This window comes from Homo sapiens, chromosome 12 (assembly GCF_000001405.40).
Source record: "Homo sapiens chromosome 12, GRCh38.p14 Primary Assembly".
NCBI lineage: Eukaryota > Metazoa > Chordata > Mammalia > Primates > Hominidae > Homo > Homo sapiens.
Genome location: NC_000012.12, coordinates 112,854,874 through 112,871,508, shown reverse-complemented (window position 1 = coordinate 112,871,508; position 16,635 = coordinate 112,854,874). Strand labels below are relative to the sequence as shown.

Genomic DNA, 16,635 nt, shown 5'->3' with positions numbered 1-16,635 from the left:
CAACACGGGTGAACCTTGAAGACATTATGCTAGGTGGAATAAGCCAGTCATGAAAGGACAAATTCTGTATTATTCTACTGATACGCAGTACCTAGAGTAGTCAAAACCACAGATACAGAATCAAAAAGAGTGGTTACCAGGGGCTGGGCAGAGAGGAGTGTGGAATTATTTAATGGATACAAAGTTTCAGTTTGTAATGACAAAAAAGTTCTGCAGATGGATAGTGGCATGGTTGTGTAACCGTGTGAATGTACTTTACACCACTGAATTGTACACATGAAAATGGTTAAAATGGTAGATTTTATGTTATATATATTTTACAACAATTAAAAAATAATTTTAAAAGGCATTGTCAAAAGAAACTTTACCTCTGGAAGAGAAAAGAAAAAGTACAGGCTTTGAGATTGGACACACAGGGAATTAATTCTCATTCTAACCAATTATCAGTTGTGTGACCTAAGGCAAGTAGCATCGCCTCTCTGAGGCTCAGTTTCTCCATTCTGTAAAATGCGAATAACAGAAGTCTCATACGTGGATTTTGGAGTTGTGGCAAACATTAAATGAGATAATGTATGTAAAAGAACTTGAGACGGCATTTGGCACATAGTAAACACTCTATAAATACTTCCTGATGTTGAGGATCTGGAAGTTCCTCTTTCTCTGTTCATCTGAACCATAGGTTCATTGTCGGGGGGAGGTCTGGGCAGATTATGAAGCACAAGGTACGTGCCCAGCTCTGTTGCCAATAAGAGGAAGTGAAGTGCTAAGCTACAAACACACAATTCAGGAAGAGAAGGCCAGATGTATGTGGGACATAAATATTCAGCCAATCTGACTTAGACCCAGACACAGCCCCTTCCTGCAAAAGAAATGAAGCCGCTTTGAGGTCTCAGACAAGGGGCCATGGAACAAAGATGTTCCAATATGGTAGACATTTCCTTCAAAGTCCTGTGCTCCATGACCCCTACCAATGGGCACTCTTACCAAATAAACCCACCAAGAGTGAGGCCAGAAATGTGAGGTACCCAATACGAGCACATGTCAGTGACATCCTGGCCATGCTGACCTATGCCATATGCCCAGACAGCAGAGGCCATTGCCAAGGGGAGACTTGGAGAGATCTTTGAGAGTGAAGCATCCTTACTTTGTTCGAAGCCTAGGGGCATTTTTCCCCCAGGGTTTTTTTTTTTTTTTTTTTGAGGCGGGGAGAAAAAAAATCATGCTTTCTGACATATGGTATTACAGCAAGAAAAGGATCTAACCAAAATTATGGATGTCTAGAGCCAGAATTGTTTCTGAATCCTGTCTTTCCTCTACCATAGACTAAAACCAGTATCTGGAATAGAACACGGCACACAGTAGGACTCAATAAATGCTGCCTAAGTAAATGAATAAAAACACAGTTCCCCTCATTCTTTTTGAGTCTCCCTATCCAGAGAACTGTCTCTGGATTTGCCCATCTTGCTCACCTGCTGGGCTCCGGCTGGAGTCTCCAGCACCCCCACTGTGGTCCCAGCTCTCTGAATCTCGGCTAGATGAGCTCATTCGTGCCTCGGAGGCCCTGCGCACGGGAGGCCCATAGTTTCCTCGCCCGGGAGCAGAGGCTGGGTCAGGGCCTGGAAAGAAGAGCATGAATTGAGTAGAGAAAGGGCATCGAGGGAATTAGGTGAATTCGTGTCTCAAATGACAAAACAGAGTCAGCAGAACCCACCTGTCTTCTGACCCGGGCCCCTCCTATCTTCACTGTCACCTGGAGAAAGAAAACACAAATTATGAGGAGTACTGGTTTTCTGGTGTCTGGAAAACCGGTACTTAAGAAGCCTACAAAGGGGTTCATTGACTATTGCCTAAGAATATGTTTTAAAAATTAAAAGTCTTTCTCCCAACCTCCTCTTTGATCTAGCTCCTGTTTACAATTTCACATTTTTTTTTGCATGCACAAACACATATGAGCATACACAGGCTTTATAAAGAACAATTATGCTATACAGCCTTCTCAGCCTAGAAGAACTAGGAAGAAGGAGTATTTTAGTGGTGAAAACTGGGGACTCCTCAGGGATGCAATATATGTTGGCAATTTGGTGATTCTCTGCAAGGAGTAGAAATTGCTCTTGCCTTGTCAGGAAGAAAACATTTGTTGAATGCCTCTTAGGTGGCAGGCATTGTGCTAAGTGCCTTGATAAGTTATCTTATGAAAAACGCTGTACCCTTCCTTTCAGAAGTACCGCCTGCACTCAATCTGGAATTGTCATTTAGTCCAGATTTTATCACTTAGCATCAATTGAAATTATTGCAAGGGCTTTATCTGGTCAGTCCTAGTGGTCTAGTCCAACTAAAATGTATTTTTACTATGGTTGCTTTTTAAAATTTTTACTGTTTTGCTTCTCCCTCTTAATCATTTTAATAATTAATCATAATACTTGGATAATAGTGATAATGTCAATAGTAGCAATTTAGTAGCAGTAATTTTCTTTTACTGATTTCCTTCTATTCATCTTTCACTTTTAATTAGTCCAAATCAGACTTGCTTATGGATAGTAGGAGAAATAACAGGGTCCAGGAAGGCCTTCTCAGCAAGCCGAGTATTCTCCCAGGCTCCAGTGTGATCTTGGTGGTGAAAGTCTCTCTCAGTTCCTAATTTTAATTTCCACCTCTTGTACACTAGATATGCCACCAGGGATGACAATGAAGCCTCTGGGCGGCTTGGCATTGCTGGAGAGTTCCCTGTGCTACCCTCTTGGTAACGATTTATGGTGAACTCTGAAGGAGATATAGGAGTCCTAGACCCAAGTGCAGAAGCTGACCATGCAACAACTGGGTGGAAACACAGACATGATGTCAGGCCATCCCTCAGGTAGACCAGTTGGCTAAGATCTGTCCTTGGTCCTGAAAGAAGCACCTGTTTTGTCCTACCTCGAGCTGGAGCCCGGGCAGGGTGCTTGGGCTCAGGAGCAGGCTGTTCAGGGGCAGCAGGCTCACTGACAGGCTGCTGGGGCTTGGTCTTCTTTATAGGCATAGGCTGTGGGAGGACCTGTTTGGGGAAGCCTTTGAAGAACCACGCTCCAGAACGCTTCCACACCTTGGGGAGGAGAGACAGGGATTGAAGATGTGGCAGCCAAGCGCTGTTGCTCTTACCTTCATGAGTGCCCATTTTTATCTTTCCTCCTCATCCAAAGCACACTGACACAATAGCCAGCACACTTTTATTATTACTACAGAGCCCTGCACAATTCATATTTATTCAGCCCATCCACCCTGAAAACTCAGTAGAAAGGGCTTCAGTTTACCCATGAAGAAAGTGGAGTTTGGATGGAGAAAGGGGAATATCCAAAATCTTAAGGACTGGTCCAATAGTACACAGCTAGAGAATGGAAAAACAAGGGCTCAACTCCAAGTCTTCCATCTCTTAAATGTGGCATGCTCTCCACTACACTGGTTGTTGTGAAGAGGGTGATCTACCTACAACTTCCCCAAGACCTCTGGCCTTTCTCCTGGCCCTGTGGGTCAGAACAGAGCAGCACACCTAGGACGGTGTGTGAAACATCTTCCATTGCCCCGTCAGATTCATTCTCCACCCTGCTCTGTGCCCCAGGAGGCTGACCAGTATGGGCTGCACTAACTGGACTCCACCAAATAAACCTTGACCTCTGTCTTCAGGTTTAGTTGGTCAAGGAGAGCACCAGGGATTACAACAAAGCCTCTTGAAAGCTTGGATTGCTGAAGAGTTCTCTGGGCAAATAAAGAGTTTGTAGCAAAGAGGAGGGTGGGACTACGGTATTTATTTCCTTGGCTCCCCCCAACCCACTGCTAGTTGGACAGTGACTGCATTCCTGTTAGGCTACACCTATCTTCCTTTCTGGTAACCATTCCCTCCTCTATCTCTTCAGCCTTAGAAGGGGAAACAGCAAACCTGTTTTTGCTGGTGCTAGGGTGACTCGCCAACCCTTGCTGATTCCTCTTAGTTCTGCCCGGACCTTTGTCAATAACACCTTCATCAAGCCCTTGATTATCCTACTGAAGTGTGCCAATGCTTTCCTGCCAGGCCCCTGACAGAAACTGAGGAGAACATGGTTATTGAAACACGGTTTCAAAGGCAGGACTCTGCAGCAGTGGATGGGGGATGAAAAAATTGGGAGAAGGAAAAAGGACTTAATTGGGGTAAGATGAGTAAGAAGCAGGACTGGGGAAGAGAAGGATGCCTGGGAGAAAGAAAGAGGACAAAGTAAAGAGAAATCGCCGAGAAAAGGGTGTGAAGATGTGAGAAATAACAAAATGAGGAAAGGGGAGAAAAAAGCAGTAAGGATTAGAGGAAGAAAAGGGCTCAAACAAGAGGAGAGTGTGAGGAAATAAAAAAATGGAAATAAGAAATGGAATAGAGAGAGAGAAAGGAAAGATGTTGGGAGAGGAAGACCCATAAGGTGAGAAATGGGGTCAAAGAAAGAACAGAGGCCAGAGGGCGATGAACAGAGAGGGAAGAAGAGAGGATGGGAAGGAAGAAAAAAAGTCACAGAAGCAGAGGAGGAGAAATAATTCATCCAAATACTCTGAGGTTGTTCTGTCAATGTTCACTGCTGAGCTGGGTCCTTTCATACAAACCTCTTAAGGCACCTCTTAAGCTGGCCAAGAAAGGAGGGTGATCTAGGCACCAGGTGGGACCAGGGCACTCACCTCCCTCTGCTCAATGCAGATTTTGCAGAGCCACACAGAATGCAGGCGGTTGTTGGTCTCCACTCCGCACTTGGTGCAGACGTTCTGTGGATGAAACACAGCCAACACACTCAGATGAGCCATGCTCATGGGAGGCATGGCAACGTAGCCCCCCACTTTCTCTTGGTGGATGTAAAGAGGAAGAACTTGCTTCCATTTCTCCCACTTCCTTCTATGAGCAAGGCCAGTTAGAATAAAACTCCAATTTGAGTCTTGTTTCCAATAAGAACTTGAGTCATTCCCAAGCACTGGATGAAGGAATTCTTTAAGAGTCCCTGTGGGATCTGAATTTTCATCATCCACACTGGGGAGATCACTGACATACTTTTTTCTAAAGAGGAATGACCATATATCCATTTTTTATCTTAATTTATTTCCTCTTTATTTCCAAAACGGACCTGAGACAACCTAGACTATGACTAGAAGTTTAACTCCCCAAGGAGAAGAAAGTTATCTGAGAAAATGCCATGGCTGTGTGATGAAATACTGTATTTTTTATTGAATTTCCTGGAAGTTAAGACAATTAGGAAAACTTAATGGGTCACAAAATTCTCGCTATCGAGTTGACTGGCAAGTTTTTCAGAATAAACTTTTCGCAAGATTTCATTCTACATGTCAAATGTGACATCAAGCTGGAGATGATGACATTGTAGATGTCTCCAGCTGGGTTGTTCAACTGAACTCTTGGAGTCCGGCAGACCCCAGGACAGTTGTATCTTTGCTCCCAAACTGTCAAGTGCAGACAGTTTAAGGAAAGGTTAGAGGGTGAACAGAGTTCAGGATTACTCGCCTTTGAGAACAAATGCTTTGGAAGCCAAATAATTCTAACTTGGCTTTCTAAGTTTCTTGTATCAGAACCCAGGATACGAGAAAACTGAAAGCATTCCACATACACACAAGTATAAACATGTGCTTAGCATGCTCTTTAAACTGACACATAACTTGCTAAGGTACAACCAGGATATCTGCAGGCTCAATCATTGCTCATGTTCTGCCACAGGCTCCCTAGTTCACCCTGGATGGAGCTCAGCTCTAAGAGACAGAAGGCTCAGAGTGGCTTCCAGGGAGGAACCAGGATCAGGGTTACGTTGGAAGACAGTAGGGCATGGAAGCATCCCAGAAAAAAACCATATCCTGGCAAGTGATCTTCAGGATCCAAGCTCCACCCCCAAGACCCAGTGACCCCTACAGCTGGAGCCTAGGACTTTCCCCTCTGCAGGTGCTGCACAGGGAAGAAGGGAGAAGAGGATGATGATACCTTCTTACAGTCCTCACATACTACACAGGCAGAGCCCAGCATCCCCAGCTGTTCTCCACACAGTATGCAGCGGTTCACCCCATCTCCAGCCACGTTCTTCCTCATGTTTTCTAGGCGGTCCACCAGGCGTCTGGAAGCAGAGACAAGGTAAATAAGGACCTTGTAGGACTGGGGACCACCAGCATACCCCACAGTGTCAGGTTGATAGTCTTCACCTTCTTTGAGTCATACGCTGTTGTGCGTCTGATGACAGTTGTGAACTCTTCCCCAAGAAAAGGCACATGCACATAAAATTCTGACGCATTTTCAGAATACCAAAGACCTCCCTCCCACACCCCTCAAAGTCCCATCTATTCTACTGACTTTGGATTAAGAACCTTATCTAGTCCTTTCTATCTTCTGTCACCTCCTCCCAGAAACTGCCTTCTGAGCGTTAAATTTATTTAGGTCTATTTATCTGTCTCCATCATGCCTTTACTTGGATGTCTTCATAGGCATCTCAAACTTACCCTTTCAAACTCAACTTTTCATCTTGGCTACTCTCCATCTCCAGCTCTAGCAAACCTGCTTCCCAGTCTTGGGAAATGTCACCACCATCTACATACTTGCTCAAACCAGAAACCCCGTGGCAGGGGGGTCTTCCTTGACCCCCTCCTCTCCTGACATTCAATGACCCAACCGAATTCTTTGGCTCCACCCCAGCCCAACTGAATTAGAAATTCTGCCCTGAAATTGTCAAGTACAGACAGTTTAAGGAAAGGGTAGAGGGTGAACAGAACGCAGGAAGACTCCCCTTTGAAAATGAATGTCCTGGAAGCTAAATGATTCTAATTTGGCTGGATAGAGATCCAGCAATCTGTATTTTATAAGTCCTCCAAGGTATCCTGATGCATGCTCAAGAATGGTTTTGAGAATCATTGCTCTAGTTACACTGATCTTTCAGTTTCAGTTCTGTCTGCCTCAGCATCAGAGCACATTCAGTTCCTTGTGTAACAAACACACACACTTGTGATCTCTCTGTCTCTCTCTGTTGCATACACACACACTTTTATATTTTCCCTGCCTATAGTATCCATTTTTTTTTTTTTTTTTTTTGACAGAGTCTTGCTCTGTCACCCAGGCTGGAGTGCAGTGGCGCGATCTGGGCTCACTGCAACCTCTGCCTCCCGGGTTCAAGCAATTCTCCTGCCTCAGCCTCCTGAGTAGCTGGGACTACAGGCACACACTGCCATGCTGGGCTAATTTTTGTATTTTTAGTAGAGACTGGGTTTCACCATGTTGGCCAGGATTATCTTGATCTCCTGACCTTGTGATCCACCTGCCTTGGCCTCCCAAAATGCTGGGATCACAGGCGTGAGCCCCTGCGCCTGGCCTGAGTGTCCTCATTCTTTAGAATAGCACTCCCTCTTGAGAGCCTCCTCTGACTACCAATTTTATTCACTCTACTAGCAACCTGGTACTTCCTCATAGCACCTTTGGAATTAACTATAGGGATTATCTGCATTAAATAATTAGCTGATTGTGAAACAATCTCTGGTTTGTTGCTGGGCTATGAGTTCCCCGGGGCCAGGCACCTTGTCTGTTCTGTTCCCTGCTGTGTGCCCAGTGCTGGATCAGTGCCTAGGCTGTAGTGAGGATTTGTATATGCTAGTTAAATCAATGAATGAACGAGAGCAGCTCACTCCCCACACATATATCTAGCAAAAGTAAGCACATTGAGTGTCAAGTCATGCATAATAACAGCTTACACTTCAGTGATACTCACTATATGCTTAGCATGGCATGAAGTGCATTGCCACCCACTTCCAGGAGGGAGGCACTACTATTTATGCCATTTTACAGGTGAAGAAAGTGGCACAGGGAAGTTAAATGACTTACCCAAGGTCACACAGCTAGGAAGTGGCAGAGCCAAAACTAGAACCCATAACTGGGCATGGTGGCTCACGCCTGTAATCCCAACACTTTGGGAGGCCAAGTTGTTGGATTACCTGAGGCCAGGAGTTCAAGACCAGGCTGACCAACATGGTGAAACCCCGTCTCTACTAAAAATACAAAAAAATTAGCTGGGCCTGGTGGTGTGCATCTGTAGTCCAAGTTACTTGAGAGGCTGAGGCAGGAGAACCGCTTGGACCCAGGAGGCGGAGGTTGCAGTGAGTTGAGATTGTGCCACTGCACTCCAGCCTGGGTGACAGAACGAGACTCTGTCTCAAAAAAACAACAACAAAACCCCCTAGAACCCATGCTTCATACGCATGACCCTAGCACTTCTTAAGTTTAATATGCACGCAGATGACACGGGGATCTGTTAAAATGCAGATTCTGAAACACCAGGTCTGAGGTGGGGCCTGAGGTGCTACATTTCTAGAAAGCTCCCAGGTGGTGGCACATGATGCCACTGGTTTCAGACCACACACTGAATGACAACTGTGGTATCCTGTTTCCACTTCGGGTTTTTTTTTGGGGGGGTCACTTCCCACCAGCTTGAAGTCATCTCCTTGCCCATCCCTCAAATGAGGACTCCCTCCAGACACACAGCCAGTGAACCCAGATAGAGCTGGACCCCACCCACCCCTCCATGGACTGGGTCCCAGCTGTGTACATACATGGCAGGGGAGAGCCGATGGGAGGGACTTGGGCGTCACAGCGCCCAGAGGGCCCCTGGTAGCCCTGCCTGGCAGGCACTTAATGCTGACTCTCCCCACGGCCCTCGTTGCTCCTGCCACACCCTCAGAGTGCTCTGAGTTACAATGCCATAAATAGCAGCTTATCCCTTTGTGTTCCATTCGAGAGAGGTGCTGCCCTGCCCAGGGAAGAGCCAAAGGCAGCCTGCAGGCTCTGGAGCCTCCGCTGTGACCCAGATTGCACAGAACCGCTTGAGGAGGCACCATGCACAGAGCTGAAGGCAGCACGCTCTTCTCAATTCTTCCTCATTTTCCCCCCACCCACCCCATCTTCCCTAGAAGTTATTTCTATAGGATGATTGGAGGGGGCAGGAAGCAGGAACAAGCTCCCAGTCCATAGTCTCAGAACTCCTGTAATAGTAGCTGGTGTTTACTGAGCACTTACTATGTACCAGGCACAGCTTTTTATTTAAATTTTATTTTCTCATTTTATTTATGTAGTGTTACTATTATTTTTAGAGATAGGGCCTTGCTCTGCCATCCAGGCCAGAGTGCAATGGTGTGATCACAGCTTATTGCAGCACTAACCTCCTGACTTCAAGTAGTTCTCCTGCCTGAGCCTCCCAAGTAGCTGGGACTACAGGCATGCACAACCATGCCCGGCTAACTTTTTTTTTGGGGGGGGGACTGAGTCTCACTCTGTGGCCCAGACTGAAGTGCAATGGTACGATCTTACATGCCTGGCTAATTTAAAAACATTTCTTTTGGAAAGATGGGGTCTCACTATGTTGCTTAGGCTGGTCTCAAACTCATGGTCTCAAATGATCCTCTTGCCTTAGCTTCCCAAAGCATTGGGATTACAGATGTGAGCCCTCCACAGGGATATCCTTTTTTTTTTTTTTTTTTTTTTGAGACGGAGTCTTGCTCTGTCACCCAGGCTGGAGTGCAGTGGTGCGATCTCGGCTAACTGCAAACTCCGCCTCCCAGGTTCACGTCATTCTCCTGCCTCAGCCTCCCAAGTAGCTGGGACTACAGGCGCCCACCATCGCGCCTGGCTAATTTTTTGTATTTTTAGTAGAGACGGGGTTTCACTGTGCTACCCAGGATGGTCTCGATCTCCTGACCTCATGATCTGCCCAACTTGGCCTCCCAAAGTGCTGGGATTACAGGCGTGAGCCACTGCACCCAGCCGGGGATATTCTTAATGACTCCTCCCAGTTACACTAGAAGCTAAGGATTACTTTTGTTTCCATTTACTACATGAGAAAACTGAGACACAGAAAGATTAAGTGGTTTATGCCAGTTACACAGCTAAGAAGTGGTGAAAGCTGGGACTCAGACCCAGGCAGTCGGCTCCCAAGTCCCTGTTCTCAGCTGCTACACCATGCTGCTGTGCACACAGCCACGTGCCATGTACAGCCACGGGGATCGCCTTGAACAGGCCAACCTCCACCCTGCTCGATTTCCCTGCCTTTCCCTCACCAAGGGCCCTTGAATCATTAGCAAGCACCAAGCTGCACATATGCAGTTACCCTGGCTGGTTCTAGCCCATCTACCTCTCACTGCCCGAGGTTGGGACAAGATACCCAACCAATGCTCCATCACTGTGTTTCCCCAAAGAACCCTCAACATGCGGTTGACAAATCTTGATTTTAGCCTGGACTTTTGCCTCTCTGGACTTCAATTTGCTCATCTGGAAAATAGGAGGCATTGGGTTGCATTGGTGGTTGTCAAACTGTGCTTCATGGTACCCCGAGGGTTTCATAGAGCCAGTTCAGGGGCCAACCTCTGTGGCAGCATGGTGGGAGAGAATTTGAGGGGTTACCACACCTCATTCCATACAGAGCATGTCTGCATTGATCTCTTTTGTTTGTTTGGACTGTTGAATTAGATTTCCTTTGGAAAGTTGGTTCCAGGGTTTTAAAAAAACAGTTTGAAGTTGACTAGAGCTGTTAAACATCAGGATGCCTTTCAATGCCATAGAATTATAAAATTTTATGAGACAACGAAGTGGGCTCATGGAGGCGGGGGATGGCAGTTGCATGGGGACATTTTTCTTATACACAGTTGCTCCCAACTATTTTCACCTTCATCAACTGCCTTAGTCAGAAAATAGATTGTGTTCTTCTCACTCTACCATTGGGGGTCTCAGAACACAGAGAGAGTGGGCCGCTTGCCTGGGTCACTCAGCCACAGCTAGAATCTAGTTCTCTGCTTCAGTCAATCATCTTTGCTTTCCACGAATCCCCACAGCCTCCTGCCTCATGTTGAGCTTTGCCAAAGCAGCTCAGGAAGAGGGCGTGGGACAAATCCAATTCTAAACCGCAGTGTGCTTTAAGGAAACTTAAAAGGGTTTTCTGCCTCTTCCTGGAAAATGAAGGCTGTGGACTTGCCCGTCACTTGCAAACCCACACTGCAGCCTCCCCACCTATTGCCTGCTCCTTTCACCATTAACTCCTGGACGCCAAAAGGCCTCATGAACACACGTTATTCAGGGAGTGTCTCATTAGCTCCTATCAGCAGCAGCAAATGGCACAGAAATGCAACAGAATTAAGATCATTACTCAGATGTCTCAGCTCAGGGACCCTCATTATCCATGAATTTAACACAGACCAATAAAGAGGATGCGTGTGAGGTGGGGACACGCAGATCTTCCTTCTCCCTGAGAAGACTGAGAATGAGCAGGGAGCTTCCTGCAGCCTGCCTGCAGCTCAAATGCTGGAGCCACAACATGGAAGACCCCAACAGCTTAAGACTTTAAACTAGGAAATAAAACTTTGCAAAAAGCCAAGTCAAAATTGGGTCATGGTGGACCATGTGTCACAAGTGGGTTTCAGCATCTTCACCCCAGAAGAAAGATGTGTTTTTACCAGTCTTGGCAGGGAAGCCCTAGATGTGTATGGGAGACGCTCTCTACCCTCACTGCATGTCAATCAGCCAGTGTTAAGAAAAACGCCAGTGCCCGGCCCTGACTCTAAACCTTCTCAGCTATGGATCTAATTCTGCCTGGATATCAGAATTTAAGCATGAAGTCCTGTTGAGAGCCACTGTGTGGGGGGAATGTTCCCAAAATGTATGGTCTATTTAGATCAGCTGGGGAGAATGTTCAATATTCAGAGAATAATTCTATGGGGTTGGGGGAGGCCTAGGAACCTGCATTTTAAAGCGGCTCCCTGTTTGAATCTGCTGGTGAATTCCTGGCTACACTTTAAGAAACAGGAAAGGAGGTGGTGAGACACATCCCATGGAAACACACTCTTCTTGCTGTGTTAACTGGGGAAAAAGCAAAAACCCAGAGTGCAGGATTGTGAACAGGGTGTGAGTTTGGGTTTGAAACATGCTCACCTGAATATCTCCATTGTGTGCACTCAAATATGTATATATACATCAGGAAGGAAACACACCAAGATATTCACAGCGATAATCACCAGGCAGTGAGGGGTTATGGGTAATTTTTACTTCCCTCTTTAATGCACCCAACTAGCTGGACTCCTCTATACTTTCTTGACTTTCTTAAAATGAACATGTATTATTTTTACATCAGAGAAGAAAGTGCATTTTTGAAGATCATGTGGCCGATGGTTAAAAGCCACGGGTTTGAATCCTACCTCTTTTCCAGTCAATGACCTTGAAAAAACCTCTTCTAATAAGAGGGGTTAGATGAGCTGCAGCTCAAGTTTCCTCTCATGTGCAGCATTCCGGATTCTCAGATCCTGAGACAGAAACATTGAGATTTCTCCTCTTTTTTTTGAAATGGAAGGACCCTTGATGACTAAGAGTAGACCCTGTCTGCATTGGCTGCCTGGTGTTATTTGCCTGCCTGGTTTTGTTTACCTATCTAATGTCTCCATCCCTTTCTCTCACATTAAGTGCCCAATTAGCTGAACCCTGTAAGTGGCTGACACTCACTACTATGTCTTTACATGCCTGATTAACTTTATGATGACGACTCACACCTGACATCCTGGGAACATCCATCACCAGGCTGGGTGCTTAAGGTGAGTTGTTGGTTACTCAGTGAAGTCAGGTGGGCACATCCCAATTCCCAGGATACTCCCAGAGGCACCAGGAGTATGTCCCTTCCTCTGGGCACCAATGGATGGCCTCTGGAGGTGGTGAGAAGCAGGTTCCCAACGTGGTCTGGCCTTGCCATCCCAGTGGAGGCAGATGGGCTATTCACTCACTTGACAAACATGTATAGAGTACCTACTATGTGCCAAGTAGACAGTGAGGATCCAACGGTAGCAAAACAACAAGATCACTGCCCTCATGGAGCTGGCGTTCAAGTGAGAGATCGGACATTGTTTAAAAAATCATGCAAATTGCCATAATCATCATAAGTCCCCTGAAGGACAAGTATGAGCAGCTATGAGAACTCACAAGAGAGAGACAGGAACAGTCAGGACAGGTCCTCAGAGAAACCGGGGAATAGCATGTGCGAAGGAAGTGAGAGGTGCTCAGCATGGCTGGGAGGCTGAATGGTGGGAGATGAGGCTGGAGAGATGGCAGGGACCACTCCATGCAGGGTCTTGTATTGAAGACTGATGGGACTGCATGCAAGGGCTTTCAGTGGAGGAGACCCAACTTCACCCCCGCCCGCCTTTTTTTTTCTTTTTCTTTTCTTTTCTTTTTTTTTTTTTTTTTTTTTTTTTTTTGAGACAGGGTCTGACTCTGTCACCCAGGCCGGAGTGCAGTGGCTTGATCATAGCTCGCTGCAGCCTCAAACTCCTGGGCTCAAGCAAACTTCCCACCTCAGCCTTTCAAGTAGTTGTGACTCCAGGTGCGTGCCACTACGTCCAGCTATTATTTTTTATAGATATGAGGTCTCACTATATTGCTCAGGCTCGTCTTGAATTCCCGGGCTCAATCAAGCAATCCTCCCACCAAAGCCTCCCAAAGTGCTGGGATTACAGGTATGAGACACTACACCCAGTCCCATTTAGAGACAACACTTGGACAGATGAATGGAGCCCTTGGGAGGCTCAGTGCAGTGAGAGTTTCAGATGCTGCGGCTGTTCCAGGTAGAATGAAGCAGGCAGGTTTCTGGTCTTTCTGTACACATGGAGCTGAGCAAGTCTTTTGAAACTACAAGGTTGGTCCAAATGGGTCTAACTCAGTGGTGGTGAAAGAGCATATCAGGAGGGCCACAAAATGCCATTGCACGCCAGCAGGTTTCAAGGAATCACTCTCTATTAGCTTTCTGTGGCTGCTGGAACAAATTATCACAACTTCGGGGCTTAAACCATATACATGTATCTTAACAGCTCTAGAGGTCAAGGCTAAAGTGGAGGCATTGACAGGGCTTCAATCCTTCTGAAGGCTCTAGGAGAGAATCTGTTCCCGGGCCTTTTCCAGTTTCTAGAAGTCAGCTGCATTCTTTGGCTCATGGCCCCTTCCTCCCTTTTCAAAACCAGCAGTAGGGCATCTTTTAATCTCTCCGTGACTCTGACCTTCCTGTTCCCTCTCATAGGAAACCCTTGTTTCCTATGGGGTCCATCTGGATAATCCAGGATAATCTCCCCATCTCAAGATTCATAACTATCACAGCTGCAAAGACCCTTTTGCCACTGGAGGTAACATATGCACAAGCTCCAGGGATTGGGATGTGAACATTTTGGGGGAGGCCATTGTTTTGCCTGCCACGCCCACATTTTTGCCCCATCAGTCACCAGAGCCTGATTTGGGTCTGAATCCAACTTTAGCTCTCCTCTGCAGAACAATTCCTCCCTGACTGGCTGTGGATGTCAGGCAAGCCAAGCTTTTGACCCTGTGAGGTTCCGGTCACTTTCTTCAGGTGTTTACATGCAGCCCCAAGAAAGCGTAGACTCCCGATACACAGGCATGCCAACACAGACACAGACACACACACACACACCCCTGCAGATGTGCTCACTTTCAGGATTTAGTAGGAAGCAGTTATGACGCAGGGGTTGGGGTGCCAATTCTGGAGTGAGCTTGCCTGGCCCTATATCTGGACTTTGCCGCTTCCCAGCTCTGTGACCCCAGGAAATCTCCTTAACCTTTCCGAGCTTCAATTTCTTTATCTGTAAATTAGGGAAATAAAGCCCTTACCTCCTAGGATTGTTGCAAAGATAAAATGAGATAGTGTTTGTAAAATGCCCGGAACATGGTAACTATTCAGTAATGGTTGCTGCTAGTTATTTATTCTAAAAATCTGTAGCTTTTATATATCCCTGTACTCATATTTTTTCTGGGTAACCAGGATGCTATCATCTGCCTGCGAAGTCTGTCTTTCTAAAGCTTTTAAAGGGGCCACATTGATGAGAAATTTATAGGACTCAAGTGCCTATCTATCTCTAAACACACACACACACAGATGACACATGCATCCACACATATATATCCACAGGCACGCCTGTAGAGGCATGTGTACTTACGGCTATGAATACACACACACACACACACACACACACACATGCACATGTGTGATCAGAACCTACATGCAAGAATACACTTTTACATGCATGTCTGTACACACTGGGCTCTTACAGAGAGATCAGATCCAATCAGTTGCCTTCTTCGAGTAAGGTCATAAGCTCAGTGGAGGACCGACCTCTGCTTATTTCTGATGCTCAGCCTCCCACAAAAAGCCCAAACTGACCTCAGAAACATTCAAGTAACTACTTTTGACCTTTCCCGTACTGCTGCAACATCTTGATGCGTGTCGAGGAAAAGGTTAATGGATGTACAATTGTCCCAGAAAGTAGGCTTCATGTGGTGTGCAGCAGAGCCTGGGAGAGACACCCTGCACCCTGCTTGCCCCAGTGTGATGGGTTTATGTGCCAGTCTCTGAATCAGCAGAGGAAATGGCCAAAAGCTGGGGTTCCACCAACCGATGGGATGCAGCCAGAGCAGCTGCCTTTAGAAGCAGTGGCTGACCACGATTTCACCATTCAGAAAAACGCAGCAAAGTGGGAGAGTGGGTACAATGTCATGTTGCCCCTCTCTGTCTCTCTCTGATTTTTGCCTCTTTCTCTGTCTTTCTGTCTTTCTCTCTCTCTCTCTGTCTCTCACACACACACACCACACACCACACCATCAATTCCAGAATCCCTGCTCGCTCTTCACCTCACCCTAATTGCCAAGTAGGGGGATATTACTGTTGAGTTTATTAAAGTTGGCACTTTCTGAAGTCAAAATTGGGCCATCTGCTGGGAATGGGGAAATGGCTGCTCTGATGGGGGCTGGCCTGAGGCTCTAATGCCAGGGTCTCTCAGGAACCTGTCCTTAAATGACTGAGCTGCTCCATCAGGAAGACACACGCTGGCATGCAGGGCATGTGCATTTCAGACTCATTAATTCTCCCTGTTGTTTGTTACTGTCACCACCTGGGGAGCCCTAGATCTCAATCTGTCTCCTTGAGGGACTGGTGAATGGGATTCCTGCCTGGGCCTCAGCACTTTGGGGAAGGAGGTCACCTTGGTTCAGAGTCGGAGACGAGGGAGCCAAGAGAGAAAGACCACTGGAGGGCTCAGCTGGGCTAGTGCAGTCCATGCTGGGCAAGGTGCTGTGTCATGACAAACCCAGGAACAGCAATAGTTGTGATTGTTGTTTCTGAGTGCTCACTGTGCCAGGTGCTATGCTAAGTACTCTATATGCATTGTTTTCCTTAAGCCATCAACAATCTGGGAGAGAAGCTCTATTATTCACTCCCATTTTACAGATGGGGAAACCAAGGCACACAGATGGGAACTCACTTGCCCAAGTGTACAGGGCTCAAGGGTGGAAGAGCTGGATTTGGAAGTTAGGTCCAGCTGCCCAGAGGCTAGAAGAATGAAATCTTTGTTTCATGTCAGTGCTTATGGTTGGGGTTCTTTCTGACCCTTCTCCCTGCCCTTTCCTGTCATGGAAAATAGAGTTGGGAGAATGTGGTGCTGAGGCCTGAAGGGGACAAGGATCACTGTGGTAAAGAGGAATGAACTGTTCAACTGAATGAAGAAACATATGAAACGATCAATTAACTTCAATAAATGTTTGAGATACCCTGTCATTATTGACTTCTCTGAATCCCCGAAATCATCCATCAA

General features: G+C 46.5%; 1 protein-coding gene across 9 annotated transcripts in view, besides 1 other annotated feature; it reads right to left on the bottom strand.

Annotated features, from left to right (window-relative positions):
* RPH3A (rabphilin 3A) overlaps positions 1-16,635 on the bottom strand; it is a 323,646-nt gene that overhangs the window by 27,373 nt on the left and 279,638 nt on the right. For all 9 annotated transcript variants that reach the window (NR_145127.2, NR_145126.2, NM_001347952.2 and 6 more), the window contains 5 exons: positions 5,966-6,095; positions 4,669-4,752; positions 2,914-3,079; positions 1,712-1,750; positions 1,470-1,616 (listed from right to left, as the gene is read on the bottom strand). Coding sequence is in view for 7 of the 9 variants with exons in the window: in NM_001347952.2 (NP_001334881.1) it covers positions 1,470-1,616; positions 1,712-1,750; positions 2,914-3,079; positions 4,669-4,752; positions 5,966-6,095 (566 nt within the window). In the remaining 2 variants the exon portion in view is untranslated. The remainder of the gene's footprint in view (positions 1-1,469; positions 1,617-1,711; positions 1,751-2,913; positions 3,080-4,668; positions 4,753-5,965; positions 6,096-16,635) is intronic.
* Positions 2,750-2,948: a silencer, noted in NCBI's record as "fragment chr12:113306366-113306564 (GRCh37/hg19 assembly coordinates)". NCBI's record gives its function as "represses an EF-1alpha promoter that drives an FKBP-Casp9 reporter gene in an ReSE screen in HepG2 liver carcinoma cells {active_cell/tissue: HepG2}" and the evidence as "EXISTENCE:reporter gene assay evidence [ECO:0000049][PMID:32094911]".